We start from the raw sequence: 20967 nt of genomic DNA, 5'->3' as shown, positions 1-20967 counted from the left end.
CAGTCCCACCCTTGTGAGACTGAGCGTCCAGCACTAACAAGATCCATCAACAGATTGGCTGGGCAGCCTCATGGCGAGCAGGTAAGGTTTGCTCAGACCAGACCCATGCAGCCAAGGGGAAGGTTGCTGCCGTGTGCGCACCCGGTCCAAGAGCAGTGGGACAGACAAGAACGAGAAGGCGCAGTCGTTGCCTCAAGGCTGACCATCTGGTTGGGTGGCTTTCCAGCTGGTCCTGGCCCTCTGGGACTTGGCGGATGGGGCAGCTTCTTGGCCTCAGACCTGCCCTGGCCAGAACCCTGTGCCACTCGGGTGTTGCGGAGGGATTGGCAGAAGGGAGTGAACGGAGAGGCGGGGGCCGGCGCTGGAGGTGGGGAGCAGGCGCCGAGGCCTAGAATAGCTGCGCTGATTACCGCCCGCTCTGCATCTGTTCTCTCCTTTCATCTGCTGCACGTGGGCGCCAAAAAGCGAGGCTGGCTCAGCCGGCAACCAGGGTGGTGGGGGTGGCAGGAGCGTGGGTGCTGAGGCCCGCAGAGCTGGTTCGGGTCTGGCCCTGCTCCTCCTAACTTCTCTGTCTTCAGTGGCTCTGTCTGTAGAATGGGGATACACCGCACCCACCTCACGAGGTTGACGGGAGGCCTGGGACCGCAACTGGAACAGGTGACACCCCCGAGGTGTGCACCGCATTATCGCTGTGCCCCTCCTCTTGCCACCTGTGGACGGGGTGCTGACACCAGCTCCTCGGGGTGGGTGGAGATTCAGTGAGATGAGGCTTGTGCAGTGTCTGGCCCTCACAGTCACACCGTACGGTGGCACCACAGGTGGCGAGCAAACCTTCTACCCTAGTCACTCCTGTCACTGCAGCAGAACCCTCCTCACTTGCCTTCCCAGAAATGGGTCATTCACAGTCTCCCCTTCCTGCTCCCAGACAATGGTGTGGTCACCGTTGGGCCAGGTCAGGTGACGGAACCATGGCAGGTGTGTTTCCCAGGGGTTTCCTTGGCCCCGGTGGCTTTACTTCCACTCCCCAAGACCCATGCCAGACGTGGACACCTGGCCTTCCAGGGCCCTTGCTGCCCGTAACATTCAATAAGCATTTGATGATGGGCTGAAAGGAGAGGTCCGTGACCACGGAGAAGGCACCGTCCTTGCCACCCAGCATACAGGCTACTGAGGGCCAGACCCAGGAACAGAAAAGCAAGACAGGTTCATTTGCCAGAAGAGAGAAGACGGGGTTCAGGGAATCTGGAGTTCAGAGAAGAGAGTGACTCTCACTAGGGGGCTGGGGAGGACTTCACAGAGGAGGTGGCATTGAACTGGGCCTTGGCATTTTCCCAGGAAGGGGTGAGATGGGGGTGGGGAGGGGGAAGTCACCATTGTTTGAGGGACCAGCCGCCCGTGCAGAGTGGGGGCTCCAGGAAGCTCACAATGGGTTCAGGGAAGCCGGGCAGTGGCCGTGGATGGGAGAGGATATGGGGGTGGGGAGAGAGGACGGGCTGAAGGTGAAAGGGTTTGCTGGGGCTCAGGAGGAAGGAGGCTTCCCCCACTTGGCAGGCACTGGGCTTACCCTGATGTGTAACTCTCAGCAGACCTCCAAATTAGGGGTTGCTGTTGCTATTTACAAATGGAGAAACTCAGGTTTGGAGGATGGAGTGTCTGACCCAGGGTCCAGCTAGGGAGCAGCTGTAGCCGGGACTTGAACCTGGGCTGCCTGCCTGGATAGTCCCTGCTCTTCCACACACGCTGCATTCTCAGACCTTCCGTCCACTTCCCTCCTGCCCCGTCCCCCACAGACAGCTGGGCTCCCCGCGGCCTGGCCACGCCTTGGGCCGTCCATCTCCTAGCTGCTTCCCTCACCATCGCCAGGCCTCCCCTGCACCCTCCACGGCAGTTGCAGCATTTATAGTGGAGGCAGTGACCACAGGCCTGCCACCAACCCCGCCTCTTCGCTGCCATCTGCAGTATGGGGAGGAGGGCCTCCCCCCACTAACACCCCAGTCCGCTCTGCTGGGCCCAGCCAGAGTCAGTGTGGGGCAAAAATCGGAAACCTTGTCTGGACATGTCTAAAGGGAGTCACAGGCCCCAACCCCAGGGCCTGTCCCTCTGCCTGGGAGAGCAGTGAGTGCCCCGCCAGATCAGAGAGAGTGAACCATAGGTCCCCTTGCTGGGACTCCAGAACCACAGGCCTCCCAAGAGTGGGGAGCAAGAGGTGCCGAGGCAGTCAGTGTGAGAAGGTGGAGGGTGAGGGCTTGGTCACGAGGCCTTGTGTCGCCTGTGGAAGGGAGCGTGCTGCCGCGGGGACAGCCAGCTTTGAAGCTCTCTGCGGGGCCTTTGGAGAAATCTGGTGAATATTTCATGTTGCCTTGGAAGAGGTGCAGAGAAACTCCAGCATCTTGTTTAACCTACTTCCTGCTTCTCCAGAGGACAGACCCTACAGGTAGGCAAGGGGGTGTGCCCTTGGGCTATGGGGGCCCCCCTCAAACCAGTGTCCCCCACCCACGCCCCACAGCAGGAGTGAGAACTGTGCAGCAGAGGCTCAGCTCCTTAAGCGCAGAAGCAGGCAGCATCTGATTGTGTCCAGGTTTGGGAGGGGGTTGTCAGAGTGCAGCCACAAAAGCCACCACCCTGTCCTAATTTCCTTTCGTTCTCCTCATCTCATATTTAAAACAACCACCTCCCACTGCCAGCTGCTATCTCCAATCCTTAGAAAGGCCGTGGGGGTGGAAGGAGAGCACGCCTAGAAGGCAGAAGACTCGAATCATTTTGAATAATATTCCCAAACTATTAGATTCCTCAGACGTGCTAGGCACAGCACCAAGCATTTCACCAACCCCATCTTCCCTAATGTGTACGTCCATTCTGTGAGGAGATGCCCTCAGTGTCCCCCTCATGCAGATGAGAAGACCCACAACCTAAGTGGCAGAGCCAGGGTTCCCCGCAGGCCTGTGACAGTTCTGAACCCTCTCCAGGGTTGCCTGCCAGCTTGAACAAGCCACTTCGCTTCTCAGATCTCAGTTTCATCACCTGCAAGACAGGACTCGCAGCTCCGGCTATGCCTGCTTCCCAAAGTTACTGTAGGGCTCCCAGGAGACAGTGGCCCTGAATGTGAGTGTGCTTTAAAGTTGGAAGGGCTGATCAAAGATTTGGGTCAGGTGCTGTGGGGGGCCATCCCTTCCTTGGGCCTCCACTCTGGGTGCGAGGCTTGGGAGTCTGGAAGGCTGGGGTGTGCCAGGTAGGTAGGTTATCATCTCTAAGCCCCTGTAGGCACTGGGCCCCTGCAGAGCCAAAGCAGGAGAGGCAGGGCGGCCACACACACACATGCACCTGGTCCAGTGACCAAGGGCCCCAGGTGGCTGGGACCAGAACCCAGAAAGACAATCCCAATGGCAATTATGTGGGAGGACTTGGCTGTTGACCCAGCAGGGTCCACACTGCGTTTGTCCTTCCAGTCTCAAAATGGCCAATGAAGCAGCCTGGAAGTTTCCATGCGACTCCTCCCTCCCCTAACAGTAGGGAGATGGCGTCATAGAGAACATGTGACATGCCAGGATGGGAGCTGGCCTCAGGTCTCCACTGCACATCAGCAGCTCAGAGTGATACCAGCTCCTCCAGAACCCCTTCCCCGCTGCAACCCATGACACATAGGCACTTTGCGTCCCCACGGTGCCACATCTTCTGTCATGGTGTCTATACCTGCTATGCTTTATTTACTCGATGGCTGGGGCTGTCTTATCTCTCTGTGCATCCCCAATGCCTAGCCCAGGGCCTGATATAAATTGAAAATGCATTGTGACTAGCAAGTGAGTGAATGAAAATAGGAATGGATGAGTGGATGGATGCGTGGGTGGGTAGATGGGCGGATGGACAGATAGATGAATGGATGGGTGGATGGGTGGATGGATGGAATAGATTTCTCTAGGAGGTGCATCAGCAATGACTGGGTCGGGCTGATATGAATCGAAAATGCATTGTGACTAGCAAGTGAGTGAATGAAAGAACAGGTGGGTGGATGAATGGGTGGATGGATGGATGGGTGGATGGATGGATGGATGGATGGGTGGATGGATGGATGGGTCCATGGATGGATGGATGGATGGATGAATAGGTGGGTGGATAGGTGGATAGGTGGATGGGTGGATGGATAGGTGAGTGGGTGGATGAATAGATGGGTGAATGAATGGATGAATGGATGGGTGGGTGGGTGTGTGGGTGGGTGGATGGGTAGATGAGTGGATGGGTGGGTGGATAGGTGGATGAGTGGATGGATGGAAAAGACTTCTCCAGGGCCAGGCACAGTGGCTCATGCCTGTAATCCCAGCACTTCAGGAGGCTGAGGTCGGTGGATCACTTGAGGTCAGGAGTTCGAGACCAGCCTGACCAACACGGTGAAACTCTGTCTCTACTAAAAATATAAAAATTAGCCAGGCGTGGTGGCACGTGCCTGTAGTCCCAGCTACTCAGGTGGCTGAGGCAGGAGAATCGCTTGAAGCCAGGAGGTGGAGGTTGCAGAGAGCCAAGATCGCGCCACTGCGCTCCAGCCTGGGTGACAGAGCGAGACTCCTTCTTAAAAAAAAAAAAAAAAAACAAGGAAGAAAAAAGAAAAGACTTCTCCAGGAGGTGTATCAGCAAGGACTGGGTCAGGGGCTGAACTTTGTCCTCTGACTTCTGATGCCCTCGGCCAAATTTCCAGGCCCCTTATGAAAGGCCTCAGGTCCGTTTGGGACTCACAGTCACTCCACTTAGACCTGGATCCTAAGAAAAGATGAAAATCCAACACAAGTGGAACCCATGCGTGGAAGGGAAGGTGCTGTTCAAGGGCAGCACAGCGGGGAGAGAGCTTGGGCTTTGCAGTGAGACCTGAGTTCCAACGCCGGCCCCACCCCATGCCAGCCGTGTGGCCTTGAGTGACTCCCTTCGTCTCCTGAGCCCCATTCTCCTTGTGGGTAAAATGGGAAGAAGTCCTTGCTAGCTGAGCCCAGAGGGTCACTGGGAGGATGAGGTTCTGGGGAAGCAGCCGCAGAGGGGGTCATAACGCTTCTGTCATCAGCAGCGGCTGCCAGAGGGTGGTAAGCAGCAAGTAAGAGGCCAGTTTGGCTCTGGGTCTCATGTTAGGCCTGTGACTGTACAGGAAAGGGATCTGGATCCAGACCCCAAGAGGGAGTTCTTGGATCTCGTGCAAGAATGAATTCAGGGTGAGTCCATAGAGTAAAGTGAAAGCAAGTTTACTAGGAAAGTAAAGGAATAAAGCATGGCTACTCCATAGACAGAGCAGCCCTGAGGGCGGCTGGCTGCCCATTTCTATGGTTATTTCTTATGATATACCAAATGAGGGGTGGATTATTCATGCCTCCCCTTTATAGACCATATAGGGTAACTTCCTGACGTTGCCATGGCATTTGTAAACTGTCATGGCGCTGAGGGGAGTGTAGCAGTGAGGATGATCAGAGGTCACTCTTGTCACCATCTTGATTTTGGTGGGGTTTGGCCGGCTTCTTTACTGCAAACTGTTTTATCAGCAAGGTCTTTATGACCTGTATTTTGTGGCGACCTCCTATCTCATCCTGTGACTTAGAATGCCTTAACCACCTGAGAATGCAGCCCAGTAGGTCTCAGCCTCGTATTTTACCCAGCTCCTATTCAAGATGGAGTTGCTCTGGTTCACAAGCCTCTGACATGACAACAGCTTTCAGTCTCGCCTGCAACTGGGGACCAGCCTGCTGTCCTGGTGGTCTTTCCAGCCATCATTCAGCAAATATTCAGGGGCTCCTATGAGGTGCTGGGCCCTATGCAGAGGAAACACACACTCACTCTGGTTCCCAGGGTACACAGACTCTAAAGGGGCCTCCTGAAGGAACTGGCAGAGCCGAGGGGGCACCGGGCAGATGTTCCGGAGGGTGCTTCCAGCAGGAGCGCCCTGCAAAGCTTCTCTGGAGCTTTTCCTGTTTACCCTGGGGCAGGGCGGTGAGCAGAACCTCCCTGCTTTGACTGCTCTCCAGGCATTTGCCCCAGCTGAGGGGCTTCGTGTTACAGTACCCACTACGAGGCTCGGTATGGGCTTGTGTACCCAGCAGGTGCTCAATCATTGTTTATTAAGTAAATGCCCTTGTCATCCACTTATTGATTCACCAAACTTTTCAGCCCATTCTTTGTGCTGGCCTCTGCTGGGGCCAGTAACACAGAACAGTGTGACATGGTTGCCACACTTGAGAACCTTGCATTTAGGCAGACGCAGGAGACAACAGGAACAGCTCTGTATGCAGAGTGCCATTCTGGGTACTGAGAGTGCCCAGGACAGGGGCAGAGACCAGAGGAAGGACATTTGAACTGGATCTCTAGGAAGGAGCTGAAGGTCAATACAAGAGGATGGGATTGAGGAGGAGCCAGGAGTGTGTGCACAGTGCTGAAAACAAAGAAGCGTGACATTTTTAGAAAACAAGGCCATTGGCCGGGCGCGGTGGCTCACACCTGTAATCCCAGCACTTTGGGAGGCCGAGGCAGGCGGATCACCTGAGGTCCAGAATTCGAGACCAGCCTGGCCAACATGGAGAAACCCCGTCTCTACTAAAAATACAAAATTAGCCAGGTGTGGTGGCGCATGCCTGTCGTCCTAACTACTTGGGAGGATGAGGCAAGAGAATCACTTGAACCCAGGAGGCAGAGGTTGCAGTGAACCAAGATCGCGCCATTGTACTCCAGCCCGGGCAACAAGAGTGAAACTCCATCTCAAAAAAAAAGAAAGAAAAGAAAACAAGGCCATTTGGTGCAGCCAGGGCAAGGGGGCCACGTGGGTGAGGGGCTGTAAGAGATGCCTCTGGAGAGACAGGCAGGGGTCAGACCTGTGTGGGCTTCACTGGCTGAGGCAAGGCACGGAAATGGGTGGCTTGGAAGGAGGCAACAGCACCCACATGGCAGGTGCAGCTCCCTCCCGGAGGGTGGGCTGGGGGCAGGGAGCACGCGCCAGGATGGAGACAGGGTGCTGAACAGGGAAAGGCGACCCACCGGACATCAGAAATGCCACTGTGAAAGGAGGCCCTCAAGGATTCAGGGGGAGGGGCATCTCTGATGGGGCTAGCTGGTCCTTGCCCCAGCACAGGGACCCTGTGGAGCTGAAGAAGGCAGTAGCACGTTGGTGATGGGCTGGCGTCTTCAGAGGTTTGTCCAGGGTGGGCACACATCCTGTAATGAGTATTCTGGAGCCCAGCCCTGTCTTCTCCTCAATAAGGCTCCAGCAGGCCGGACCCCAGGAGAGTGCTGGGTACCCGGGCTGGAGCCAAGCCCCTCCGGCCCCCAGTGCAGTGAGAAGCAAGGGGGCTGCGTGAGGCCTGTACAGCTCAGACGCTCAGGGGCTCCAGGACAGGGTCTCAGCCGGTTTCTCTGTCCCGGGCTCCCTTCTTTTCCCTTCCTCTCCATCCATTTTGTTGAATGCTGTATTTGCCGCTGGACCCTGGAATGGCCAGATACGGCCCATCCCTGCCACCAGCAGCAGCTCTCTTCCCGCAGGGGCCTTGACTGCAGACTCGGCCAACATGACCACTGAGTTCCCAGGGGCCGGAAGTGCCAGGGAGCCCAGAGGAGTGGAGGCCTCGATGCCCAGGGCTGGCCGGGAGGGCTTCTCAGAGGAAGGGACATTTGAGTTGGGGCTGGAAGAGATTTCAGTGGGCCCCAGGGAGATGAGGAGCGGTCAGGGCACTGCAGCCAACGAGCTATGAGTGACGAGTGCATAGCGCTGAAGACGGGGCTGGGCGAGACACATGTGTTATTGGGCCCACAGTGGGGAGCCACGAAGGGCCTCCTGCAGGAGAGGGATGCCACAGGGCCAGGCCTGAGGAACACAGGCCCCTTCTTCCAGGTCTGAGGGCCGGTAACCTGCTCTGCCAGTAAGGGATGGAGCTGGGCCTCAAGCTATGCTATAGGCACGGAGAGCAGCAGCCTCCTAAGTCAGCTCCCACTTACTTCTTGCCTGATGATAACCAGAGGGACCATGCTGGTTAGCGTGGCCTAACCTCCCAGCCAACAGTTTATCCACTTCCCTGGACAAAACCCAATGCTTCAACCTGACCTGCGAGGCCCAGCATGGCCTGGTCCCACCACCTCTCAGCAGGGCCCAGCTCTAATCCTCAAGTCTGGGGACCCAGGATCAGTGAGGTCCAAACCAAGTTGGCAGAGCCACCAAGCCAGGCCCCACCCAGCTCCACTTCCACATCAACAGGGGTGACCAGCATGACCTGCAGGACCTCCAGTGAGGGAGGATACTGTGGCCTCGGGTCAGCCAATTCCCCCCTCAGCCCCCAGCCCACGCTCCCTGTCCCCAGCCCTGTCCTCTCTGACCTCATCTCCACCTTGCAGTCCAGAAGTCTTGGGTACCCAACTGAGGCTGACTGTGACATGCCCCAAACACAGGCAGGCCCTCTTCAAGCCCAGGAGGTGAGGGCCTGGGTCGGGGGACCCTCTGGCTCTGCCATGGGCTTGCTGTGTGTCTCTGGGGCCAGCCGCCCCCTCCCTGGGCCCATCTCTTGTCTATGCCCCAAGGGACCCCTTTACGGTGCACTGTTCAGCAGAACGTTGGGAATCCCTGCACCCCTGCCCCTCTGGATAATACAATCCTCCAATCCTGCCCTGGCCGCATCCTGCTATTTCTCCAAGATGAGCTCCTTCCTCCACCACGCAGTCTCGCTGCAGCCGGCGGCGCAGGGCGACCTCTCATGGCCACATGTGGGCATAACGTGGCTCATCAACGGGGCGCTGGGAGGACACTGGGAGGGCTGGCCAAGCCCTGGGAGGACTTGGGGGAGACACTGGGAGGACTGCAGTTGAGGGGGCCTGCTGGGAGGGTGCTGGGGGGCTCACCTCACCCTTCTCTGAGGCTCAGCCTCTTCACACTCATTGGGCCCAAGTGAGAAAAGGTGTGGTGGCTTCGAGTCAGGCCTGACTTCCTTCTGCTCTTCAGTCACAAATATTTATTAATTAATTATTTATTTATTTATTTATTTATTTATTTATTTATTTTCTTGAGACAAAGTCTTGCTCTGTCACCCAGGCCAGGGTGCAGTGGCGTGATCAGCTCATTGCAACCTCCCCCTCCCAGGTTCAAGCGATTCTCCTGCCTCAGCCTCCCTAGTAGCTGGGATTACAGGCACCTGCCACCATACCCGACTAATTTTTGCATTTTTAATACTAATGGGGTTTCACCATGTTGACCAGGCTGGTCTCAAACTTCTGACCTCAGGTGATCCACCCACCTCAGCCTCCCAAAGTGCTGGGATTACCGGCATTAGCCATCGCATCCAGCCAGTCCAAGGCTTCTTGACTAGGGCAGCTGAGGTGGAGGCTCCCCCACCTTCTCGCCACTGCGCCCAGCCACAAATATTTATTGAGCACCTGCTGCATGCCCTACCTGTGTAGGTCCTAGAGCAGCCACCTCAGAGCAGGCAGGTCCGCACCTCGCTGCACCTGCAGGCCTGCGGGCTTCAGCTCCTCCTCTTCCCACTCCGAGCTCACCCCATGTTGCCGCTCAGTATTGCCGGTCTCACAGGGCCCCTGAGGGCAGAGGGGAAGGTGCTCAGGTCCTGTCCAGGGAGACACCTGGGACCTGGTGGTCCCATTGGCAATCATCACCCACCTCTTCCTCCCACTGCTCTTGCCTCCACACTCCGAGGCCCCTCCTTTCAGAAGGTTATTCCAAGAGCTCCCACCTGGGTGCCCAAATCTCATTGCCCCAGTGCTGCTGTCCATGCTGGGTGCCTCTCTGGGAGCTCGTGGGAGTGACTGGTTCATCCTCTTCCCCCAGGGGATAAGATAATGGAATTGGATGGGGAAGCTCTGGGGAACACTCCAACATTCCCTCCACAGCATCTTCGGATTCTTCACTTAGGTTTGCCTAAAGTGGGGCAGTTCTGAGCTCCCTGCAGGGGAAGGGGGCTCCCTACCCGCTGTAGGATGCACAGGCCCCAGCATCTGCGTTTAGGGAAAATGCAGGCAGGGCCAGCCCCTCTTGGCATCCTTTTTGTGGCTGGGAGTGTCACCTATAGAACAGAGTCCACCCCACCCTGCAAGCCTACAGTCACCCTGAAAAGGGACCCTGGCCTGCTCCGTACCGCCCCCTCCTCCTCAAAAAACAACCCCCTCCCAGGAGCGTCCCTCTAGAACCGCGTACAGCTGTGGGTGCACCTGAGGAGGCAGGGCGGGGAAACAGCGGCCAGGTGCGCTGCCAGGATCATACAGCTAATGTGGCCAAGCAGACAAGTAAGTCCAGAGCAGGCTCAAAGCCTCGTGTTCTTGAGGGATCCAGGCCCATTTCCCCCAACTGTAGAATGGCCTGCCTGTGGGCTGTTTGGGGAAGGAAGCCAGGGGAGGAAGGGAGGTGGGCATGTGCACAGCCCTGAGCCATGTTCTCACTGTGGCCTATCCACAGCCCCTCAAGGCAGACGTCACTACCCCACTTTTAGCAGGTAAAGGAGCGAAAGCCCCGGGAGGTGAAGCTGCGCCCATGGTCTGTCTGGAAGGTGTCCCTGGGGCTGTGGAAGGCGTGCCGCGGTGGCCCCTCCACCCAGGACCAGCAGTGGCCATCCCTGGCCTAGCATGAGTGCCCCTGCCCTCTGCCAGGGTATCCTGACGTCAGTGGGACTCCGGAGCAGAGGGCCAGGGAGGGAATGGGCCATGCAGCTAGCTATGTTTGGGAGTGTTCCAGGCAGGTGGATCACCTGAGGTCGGGAGTTCAAGACCAGCCTGACCAACATGGAGAAACCCCTCCTCTACTAAAAATACAAAATTAGCCAGGCGTGGTGGCACATGCCTGTCATCCCAGCTACTCAGGAGGCTAAGGCAGGAGAATGGCTTGAACCCGGGAGGCAGAGGTTTCGGTGAGCGAAGATCGCGCCATTGCACTCCAGCCTGGGCAACAAGAGCGAAACTCCATCTCAAAAAAAAAAAAAAAAGAAAAAAAAGAGGAGCGACCTGAAGCAGGACTAAAGAGACTATAAGGACATTACGTGATTATGTGAGTCCTGGTGTGACCCCACAAATCCCTCTTCTCTGCACCAGAGGACAGCCCTGCGGGGTCTCACTCACTGGGAACCCCATGCCTGGCACAAGATAATGAAAGCAGTCAATGGCCATGCCCTTCTCTTGGAGAACAGAGGCCCAGAGAGGAATATGGACTGAGCCAACATCCTTCCCTGAGTTCAGGGTGCACATGGGGCCATGTCTGCTGACAGCCCTTCGGCCTTTCCACGAGACCCGAGCCTATGAGACATCAATCCCCCTTCCCTGGGCCCAGCCTGGCCAACCACTGCCCCAAGACTGGGGTGGGCCCGGGTCCACCGGAGCTCCTCAGCCAAGCTATGCCCATGACTCTCCCAGCTGCCCCTAGGGGGAGACAGACTCGCCTGCTGTGCCTGGGTCGGAAGGATTCCCGCTGCTCATCCTCATCCTGGATACAGGTGGCAGGCGCCAAGCCAGGGTGAGTCACAGGGCAGCTGGCCAGGCCAGTTGTCTTTTTTTTGTTGTTGTTGTTTTTTCTGTGGCAGCAGAATCCCTTTTTTCAAATCAATTTGCCCAGGGAACCCCAGTGTGTCAACCAGAGCAGAACAGCTCTAGTCGAAGTAGGGGGAGTCGGCAGGGATCCTGTCCTCAGATCTTAGGGAACATTCTGGCAAACTGCTGTCTGGCCACCTCCTCATTCTACCTGTGGGCCAGTGAGGCTCAGAGAGGTTTGGGCTTTGAGTAGTTGGTCAGAATGGCTGGCAAGCAACCAGCCCACCTACCTGTAGCCTGTCCTAGAGCACTGGATGAGAGCAGGGGCTACTGACTCCCAGCTCATTGGGTGGCCCCTGAGCCCCACTGAGCCCCACTGGAGTCCCCTGTGGCCCCTTCCCCAGGTTGACAGAGCCTTTCCCAATCTGAGCACTTCCAGGGTGACAGTGGCTGCAAGGGCTACATGGTGAGCCCCCCACTGTTACCCCAAGTGGCCTGGGGGAGCCCCTTTCCTACCTTTTCTCCAGGAACCTTCAAGGTCCCAAGGCCTAGCAGAGCTCCTCAGGAGTCTGTGTGTGTGTGTGTTTCGATGTATCCAAGTGTGTCTGTGTGTCTCTAATGTATGTGTGTCTATGTCTTTGTGTATCTCTGTATGTGTCTGTGTGGGGTGTGTGTGCACCTGTGTCTGGAGGTGAACAGAAACCCCTCTTCGTCTCTCCTGAGCGCTGAGAGAGCAGGTGAGAGCCTCCCCTGGGGTGTTCTGTCCTCTGTCACCGTCCATGACCTGGTGATGTCTATGAACCACCACAAGTGAGGTTCCCAGGACTTTAGACACAGACTCAGAGTCTTAGGCCTGGGGAGGGCCCAGGGATACTCAGCCCCACCCCTTCTTGATGCTAAAATGTGCGGCACAGATTATTCATTGAGTCATACTATTTTATTTTATTTTATTTTATTTTATTTTATTTTATTTTATTTTATTTATTTATGTTTCAGACACAATCTTGCTCTGTCGCCCAGGCTGGAGTGCAGTGGCATGATCTCGGCTCACTGCAACCTGCACCTCCTGGGTTCAAGTGATTCTCATGCCTCAGCCTCCCGAGTAGCTGGATTACAGTCGCCCACCGCCACGCCCGGCTAATTTTTGTACTTTTAGTAGAGATGGGGTTTCACCATGTTGGCCAGGCTGGTCTCGAACTCCTGACCTCAAGTGATCTGCCCACCTTGACCTCCCAAAGTGGTGGGATTACAGGCATGAGCCACCACACGCAGCCAAGTCATAATATTTTAAATGATTTTTTAAAAATCATTTGAAATAAAAATAATTTCATTTAACCTTCGTAGTAACCCCACAAACACTCTTGTCCTCTGAGAGGTGGGTGGCTGATGAGGTCCTGTAACGCATAAGGGGCAGCTTCTGTGGACGAGGTTCCACTCCCACACCTGAGGCATGGCTGGTGGGGTCGGGGTGGCCATCCTGCTGCAGGGACAGTCCCCTTCTAGTTCTCACCAGGGCAGAGGGTCACTGAGGCTGAGGCCAGGGTGGCTTCAGTTAGAGATCCCTGTGGCCCCGATACCCAGCGTCCTTCCTGAGGGTTGGGACAGCATCGTCCACCCCAAGGACTAAAAAGCAGGGGGTGTTTCCGGCCGGGCACAGTGACTCACGCCTGTAATCCCAGCACTTTGGGAGGCTGAGGTGGGTGGATCACGAGCTCAGGCATTCAAGACCAGCCTGGCCAACATAGTGAAATCCCGTCTGTACTGAAAATACAAAAATAAAAATAAAAAATTAGCCAGGCGTGGTGGTGGGAGCCTGTAATCCCAGCTACCCCGGAGGCTGAGGCAGGAGAATCACTTGAACCTGGGAGGCGGAGGTTGCAGTGAGCCAAGATTGCGCCACTGCACTCCAGCCGGGATGACAGTGCGAGACTCCGTCTCAAAACAAAAAAAAAAGCTGGGGGTGTTTCCAACAGCCAAAGCCGGGATTGTTTTTCAGCTGCCTGGGGTTCTTTCCCCAGCTGCCCAGCCTGGCATCTTTTCCAGCACAAGAGTGTGGAAGGAGGAGTGTCCCCAACCCCTGTCCGGTGGAGTAGTGTTGCCATCGGACGTGGACCAAGCCAGGCCTCCTGCCCACTGTCGCCAGCTTGACCTTCAGGGTCACTCTGCTTCACAGACAGGAGGACTCCCCAAAGACTGCGTGAAAATCAGCCTTTGTTTATAACACGCTCGCGAGGCTAATAATGAAAAATGAGAGAAGGTGGGGGAGCCTCCACCTCAGCTGCCCTGGTCAAGAAGCCTTGGACTGGCTGGGCGCGATGGCTAATGCCTATAATCCCAGCACTTTGGGAGGCCGAGGCTGGTGGATCAACTAAGGTCAGGAGTTCGAGACCAGCCTGGCTGACATGGCGAAACCCTGTCTGTACTAAAAATACAAAAATTAGCTGGGTGTGGTGGCACATGCTTGTGATCCCAGCTATTCGGGAGGCTGAGGCAGGAGAATCGCTTGAACCCGTGAGGCGGAGGTTGCAGTGAGCCAAGATTGTACCACTGCACTCCAGCCTGGGCGACAAAGCGAGACTCTGTCTCAAAAAAAAAGAAAAAAGAATCTTTTCCCCTCAAGTCCAACAGAGCTTAAAGGTGAAAAAAAAAAAAAAAAAAGGCCAGACGCGGTGGCTCACGCCTGTAATCCCAACACTTTGGGAGGCCGAGGTGGGCAGATCACAAGGTCAGGAGATCGAGATCATCCTGGCTAACACAGTGAAACCCCGTCTCTACTCTCTACTAAAAATACAAAAAATACAAAAAAAAAAAATTAGCTGGGCGTGGTGGCAGACGCCTGTAGCCCCAGCTACTCGGGAGGCTGAGGCAGGAGAATGGTGTGAACCCAGGAGGCGGAGCTTGCAGTGAGCCGAGATTGGGCCACTGTACTCTAGCCTGGGAGACAGAGCGAGACTCCGTCTCGAAAAAAAAAAAAAAAAAAAGAAAAAAAATCTTCCCCCAGCGGACCCAGTGGAGTTACCAGGATGTAATCAATTCCTCCAGAACAAGTGGTGACAACACGGGACACCCAAAAGAGACTCAGTGCCCGGGGTTCAGCCCAGGGGCTGGTTCATGGGCACCCTCTGCCTGGCACGTACCGGAATTCCAGCCCCCCAGAAGGAAAGCCGGCGTGCATCGTGGACACACTGTGTGTAGAAACAGTTCTGGCACTGTGAGCTGGTCTTCTTAGGGAATGGTGGGAATCCTCCCAAAATCCAGCTTCCCAGATGCCAGCCCAGGGCCAGCCTTGCAAGCAGGCCTTTGTCTCCAGCCTGCTACATTCATTCTTTTCTACACAGTTAGCGGGGAAGGAGGGGAGGGGAGGCCATGAGGCAGAGGGGCAGATAGAGGCCGTGTCACGGGGGCCTCCAGGCCATGGACTTGGCCGTGGGGCTGATGAGCCATGCACGGATGATCGGCTGCAGGCAGGTGGCCGGGTCCAGCCCCTGCTTCAGGAACATCCGCCTGGCAGCTTTGTGGAGGCTGGAGCGGAGAGGAGGGGAGGGGGCAGCCAGGAAGCTGCAGAAACCATCCAGAGTCAAGTTCAGGGATTGAAGCTCACTGGAGAAGAGGACAGCGTAGCAAGAGGCCCCATGGGGGCAGAAGGCCCGTCTGTCTTGGAGGAGGAGGCGGGGCTGTGCCAAGGGGGTCCCAGGGGGAACGGTTTGAGCCTGTGGGAGGGAGAGGGGGGCACAGGATCCAAAAAGCATGTCCTGGGCAGGACTTGGGTGGGCATGGGGTGGGGGCAGGAACCTGGCGCTGAGGGAGCTGAGGAGGGGTGGGGGCTGGCCTGGGGAGAGGCCAGAAGGAGAAGATTAAGAAATTGCCTGAATTACAAATCACCGCAGCCACCTTGGCCCTAAGAGCCAAGCCGTTGAGAATCAAACAGAGGAGGATGGGGTCACCGAGAAAAGAACCTGGGCACAGAAAAGGAGGCGAAAACAGGGGAGCTCCGAGCACCCCAGACTCAAAGAAGAGAGGGAAGACCATGACCCAGGGGACCCTCAGAGCCCGTGTGGCCCAAGCTCGGGAAGCCAGTCCAGGGAACAGAGGAGAGGTCGCCAGAGCAGGCATCAGTTCACACACAGACACACACTTGCACACACATTCACACAAACATGCACACACATTTACACACATATTCACACACATACACATTCACACATTCACACAAACATGCACACACATTCACACACATAATTCTCACACATTCACACACGCACACTCACACATTCACAGTCACACACTCGCACACACACATTCACACACACTCCCCACACACACTCCCCACACACACTCACACTCATACACACACACTTGCACACAGTCACACAAACATGCACACATTCACACACATAATTCTCACACATTCACACAATTCTCACACATTCACACACACTCGCACACATACATGCACACATACATTCACTTTCACTCCCACACACTACCCCACACACACATACATATTCACACACTCGCACACACATTCACACACACTCCCCACACACACTCACACTCATACACACACACATTCACACACTCTCATACATACACTCACACTCACACACACTCTCACCTTCTCACACCCACCTGGAGGTGAGCCTCTCCTGGACATGGAGGGGAGGGGACAGCCCTGGTCCATGGCTCAGTTGATCCTGCCCCACCGTCCCTCCCTTCAGCATCAACAAGGTGCCCTCTCCAGCCCACAGCTCCTGGCCACTATGCCCTACCGCAGAGCCACTTCCTGCGTCTCAAGCCCCTGAGGCCCCGGGCTGGCAGCCGCAGGCCGTCCTGCATATGACGCACAGGTGCATGGACAGGGCCCTGGGAGGTGCCGCCCGACGTGCTTGACTGCAGAGCCGAGTCAAGCCGAGCTGGGCAGCTGCCCACATGCAGCTATGTGCCATCAAGGCCACCCACCCAGACTCCCTACACCTGGATCCCTCTGGCTGTCGGGAAGCACCGTCCCCAGGGAAACAGAGGCACTGGGGGAGGGGCAGTGGGCACAAAGGAGGACTGAATGAACTGGGGTCCCAGGTTCAAATGCCCTCAGCCATAACCAAGGCCCACCAGCCCTCCGGCTTCCCTGGGGACCACCCTCAGTGACTCACTGCGTACAGGCTGCAGTGCTGACAGCTGGGTGCTGAGTGTCCCTGCATGGGAAGCACACAGGCCACACCCACAGCAACACTGCTGTGAGAACTGAAGGCCTAGAGGGTCCTCCCACCTCCTCTGCCTCCACAGACACCTGGCAGGGAAGGGAGCAGGACAATTACTCCCCCTGCTCTACAGACAAAAAAGCCAAGACCAGAGCAGGGGTTGGGGGCTGCAGCCCTGCAGGAGGGAGAGGTGGGTAGACCGGGGAGTTTTTACTGGGGTCGGGGGCACTCGGGTTGTGCTATGGCGTTCCAGCTAGCCCAAGGGACAGAGCTGGAGGTTGCAGTGACAGGGCTGGATGGCCAGAGGCGGCTCTGCCAGCTGTCTCCACGCAGGGGGCCTGGTTCATCTGGCAGCTTCCCCACCAGTGAGCTGAGCGCTCTCGCTGCTATCCCCTCTGCCTGGTACTCTTGTCCCCTCTGTCCCCGGCTCCTCCTCTTGCCCTTTCTTTCTCCAGAGGTCTCTTTCTCCAGCAGCTTCTCTGACTCCCCAAGTCTGGTTACGAGAGTCAGGGCCAGACCAACTCTCCACTAGGCACAGCAGGCCCAGGGCCAGGGCCATGAATTTTCAGGGGCCGACATAAATGTTTTAATTATTTGTTTAATCAGAAGGGAAAAAAATGGATATAACCTAGCCGGCTTGTGGATACTGACATAGTTGCAAAACACAATACTTAATACTTTTTCTGGAGGAGGGGGCCCATGAAAGTCACACTGGGTCCCTTTGAGCCCTGTGTCCCTCCTGGGCACGAGTCTGAAGTGTTGTGATGATCGGCTCACATGACTGCCTTCTCCACCAGACAGTGGGCCCCGGGAGGGCAGGGGCATGTCTTACATTGTCAGAACAGGCAAGCGGTAAGTATTTGCTAAATAAATAAATGCTTATAAATAAAAAAAAAATAGCCTTGATTGCTAGTTAGTGACAGTTAGCAATCCTTGCCCAGGGCCAGGCACTGTACTGAGCTCCCATGACACAGACACATTGATATCATCCCCGTTTTACAGATGAGGACATCAAGACAATGAAAGGTTAAACCTGCCCACGTCGTTCACCAGGAGTGTCTGCATTCCAAGCCTGCTCTCTGGACCACTGGCCCAGAATGTCCCCACAGAAGGTGGAGCACCTGGTGGATGTATGAAGAGGCTGAGTCCAGGAGGAACACCCTGGACATGGGGCAAGCAGGCTATGTCAGCCCCTGAGTTCTGGCCCATGGATCGGTGCCCTCGGGAGCTCCAGCGCTGCCCCAGCCTCCCTTGTGAGTGTACAGCCAGCTCAGGCCTTCCTCCATGTGGGCAGCACACACTCAGCCAGCTACTGTGCTCAGGGTGTTGGTGACAATGACGGCTAATTGGAGCTTACACCTACCGAGTGCCAGCTGACTGCAACCTCTGCCTGCCGGGTTCAAGCAATTCTCTTGCCTCAGCCTCCCAAGTAGCTGGGATTATAGGCATATACTACCATGCCCAGCTAATTTTTTTGTATTTTTAGTAGAGACAGGGTTTCACCATATTGGCCAGGCTGGTTTCGAACTCCTGACCTCAGGGGATCTGCCTGCCTTGGCCTCCCAAAGTGCTGGGATTCCAGGCATTCATCACTGCACCCGGCCAAAAGATTAGAATGTCATCAGGCAGAGAAACAAGGAAAGGCGTTCCAGGCTGAGGCACAGCCTGAGTAAGGGCTCAGGAGTAGGAGAGGCCTTGGGGTGAGGCCCCAGGAGTGCAGGTGAGGCCTGCAGGAGATCTGCGTCTGCAACCACACTGGGGAGCTGGTGATTTAAGACTGGGAAGCTGCAGTCAGGCAGTCGCTCGATGAACGTTTATTGAGCATTTATTAGGAGCCAGGTACTGTAATAGGTGTGGGGGACAGAGGTGACTAAGGCACAGTCACCCATAAGAGTCTGGCCAAATCTCTGCATGCCTAAGACTGTCCCCCTCAGTCAGGGACCCACGTTGTGTTCCTGGCACCCTAGCTGACCCACTTTGTAACCTGGATCCCACGCCTGCACTCCTCAGAGTAGCCTTCTTCCATAAAATGAGTTTAACTGCGGTTGTCACCTGGTGATGGAGCTCTTTGAGCTCTTAGGATGAAAGATTCTGTAAATACGCAGCCTTTGTCACCAGACTGGGTGGGGTGGAATAGGGAGCCCACATCAGATCCCCAAGGGTGCAGAGAAACAGCCCCCGGGAGTTGGAGGGAGGGTCGGTCGCCAAGCTCCCCTGAGGTTACCGCCCTCTGACAGCTGCCAAGCGAGTTCCTGCAGCCAGAATGCCTGACATGAAAGTCCCCCGCCCCCGCCAAGGCCTGCCTGTGATGGTTAAATGACAGACGCCGACACCCTGGCTGCTGACTGATGCTGACAGCAGGGAGGGAGATGTGGAGCTGGCCTGGGTTGCAGGCAGGTGACTGGAGGCTCTTCCTTAACTCGTGTTCATAGGACGCTGAACACCCACCACGACCTGTCACTGTCCAGTGTCCATGGGGGAGGCAGACAGGCACACAGCACATTCCACCATCACGTGGGGTGTTAGAGGGGAGGCCCTGCTCTCTGGCAGCACAGAGAAGCCCACCTGACAGATGATGGGTCCAGGACAAACCAAGGGCCCAACCTCCTCCCGTCTCCCCGCAAAGATCATGGTGATAAAACCCCTTTGGGATGAAGTAGTTCAGAAGTCCTTTGCCCATGTGACCCTCATGCAAGAGAAAATGAAGGCCAGAGAGCCCCATTGACTTGTCCAAGGCCACAGAGCTCATTGGTGTGGCACACAGGACACTTATTATTATTCTGATTCCTTGGCTTGTGGCTTCATCACTCCAATCTCTTCCTCCATGGTCACATTGCCCTCTGCTCGTCTTCTCTGCCTCTCTTTGGTTTTTTGTTTGTTTTGAAACAGAGTCTTGCTCTGTCACCCAGGCTGGAGTGTGGTGGCTTGATCTTGGCTCACTGTGGCCTTGACTTCCCAGGCTCAAGCTATCCTCCCACCTCAGCCTCCTGAGTAGCTGGGATTACAGGTACACACCACCATGCCCAGCTAATTATTTTCTTTTTTTGTTTTTCTTTTTTAGAGATGGGTGGTGGGGGGGGGGGGTCTCACTAATTTGGCCAGGCTGGTCTCAAACTCCTGAGCTCAAGCAATCCACCTGCCTCAGCCTCTCAAAGTGCTGGGATTACAGGCGTGTGCCACAGTGCCCAGCCCCTATCTTTCTCTTAAAGGGTTACTTGTGTTACACTTAGGGCCCACCCTGATAATCTAGGATAATCTCATTTCAAAATCTTTAGTCACATCTGCAAAGTCTTTGCATGTAGATAACAGTCACAGATTCCAAGCATTAGTACCGAATTCCTGTAGCGACCATTATTCTGCCTGCTCCCAGCCCCCAGAGGATGCAGAGTTTAAGAGGGGCCTGCCTTCAGTCAGCCTGTGGGCATGAGCCTCACATATCCACTCAGCACATCCTGGGAGGGGACCTGGACTCCCCCCCGACCCCAGCAAGGCCAGACCCCCCTGTCTGCCAGGACCCCCGGAGAGGGGGAAGCAGGCTGTGCAATGGAGGAGGTAGGATGTGGCAACTCCATAGAAGTGGTTAGGACAGAATTCTGGAGTTGCGCATCCCAGAGATGAGGAGTCAGAGAGGCCCTTCCCCTACCTGGATGCTGCCCCTACGTCTGATTTGAATTCTCCTTTCATTGCTCCATCCAGCAGACACTCAGACCAGAGCCAGGCTCGGTACCAGGCTCTGGAGAGCTTGTCCATGTCCTCAAAGAGCTTGCAGTCTAAACCTAGGAGTGATAATGGCCAGCACCGTGGTCTCCAGGAGGGTGGAAGAGCAGGAGACTCTTCTCTTTCCAGAGCAGGCAATGGAGGCCCAGGAAAGGGGACTGTTCTTGTCTGGAGTTGGGCTGAAGCCGCTTTAGCATGAGGGTTTTGCCTTTCCTCAATCCTCCGACCCCACAGCCTTCCTGTTCCTGCCTCGGTGATTTTGTCATTCTTGTCTCGTTTCCTCTTGGTACTTTAAAAGTAAAATAACGACTGTTCATCTGCCCTTAGAAGGGCTGGCACAGAAAGAGATTCATCCCAAGCTGTGCACCTGCTCTATCTGTACAGTTGGCGGATGGGGAGCCAAGGAACAGGACCCCCGGAGTCAGGCAGCATTTTACTCAAACGCTGAGCACTCGTTCCAAGTCTGAGTAAGGTAGAAGAATGAGTGGCCAGCCCTGCCTTCCCACAGCTCAAGTGCAGCAAGCACCGTCCTTAAAACAGAAGAGCTGGCCGGGCGCGGTGGCTCATACCTGTAATCCTAGTA

The 20967-nt window shown here is 55.8% G+C and overlaps 4 annotated features.

Moving 5' to 3' along the window:
- Positions 16119 to 16168: an enhancer, noted in NCBI's record as "active region_19022". NCBI's record gives its function as "activates an Ori minimal core promoter by ATAC-STARR-seq in GM12878 lymphoblastoid cells {active_cell/tissue: GM12878}" and the evidence as "EXISTENCE:reporter gene assay evidence [ECO:0000049][PMID:35858748]".
- Positions 16649 to 17473: an enhancer, noted in NCBI's record as "H3K4me1 hESC enhancer chr22:39156221-39157045 (GRCh37/hg19 assembly coordinates)". NCBI's record gives its function as "activates a minimal SCP1, AML or CMV promoter by ChIP-STARR-seq in naive H9 embryonic stem cells {active_cell/tissue: H9 hESC(naive)}" and the evidence as "EXISTENCE:reporter gene assay evidence [ECO:0000049][PMID:30033119]".
- Positions 16769 to 16818: an enhancer, noted in NCBI's record as "active region_19021". NCBI's record gives its function as "activates an Ori minimal core promoter by ATAC-STARR-seq in GM12878 lymphoblastoid cells {active_cell/tissue: GM12878}" and the evidence as "EXISTENCE:reporter gene assay evidence [ECO:0000049][PMID:35858748]".
- Positions 20410 to 20549: an enhancer, noted in NCBI's record as "active region_19020". NCBI's record gives its function as "activates an Ori minimal core promoter by ATAC-STARR-seq in GM12878 lymphoblastoid cells {active_cell/tissue: GM12878}" and the evidence as "EXISTENCE:reporter gene assay evidence [ECO:0000049][PMID:35858748]".

Source organism: Homo sapiens, chromosome 22 (assembly GCF_000001405.40).
Source record: "Homo sapiens chromosome 22, GRCh38.p14 Primary Assembly".
Lineage (NCBI taxonomy): Eukaryota > Metazoa > Chordata > Mammalia > Primates > Hominidae > Homo > Homo sapiens.
The sequence above is the reverse complement of the archived record's forward strand: the minus strand, read 5'-3'. Positions and strand labels throughout refer to the sequence as shown.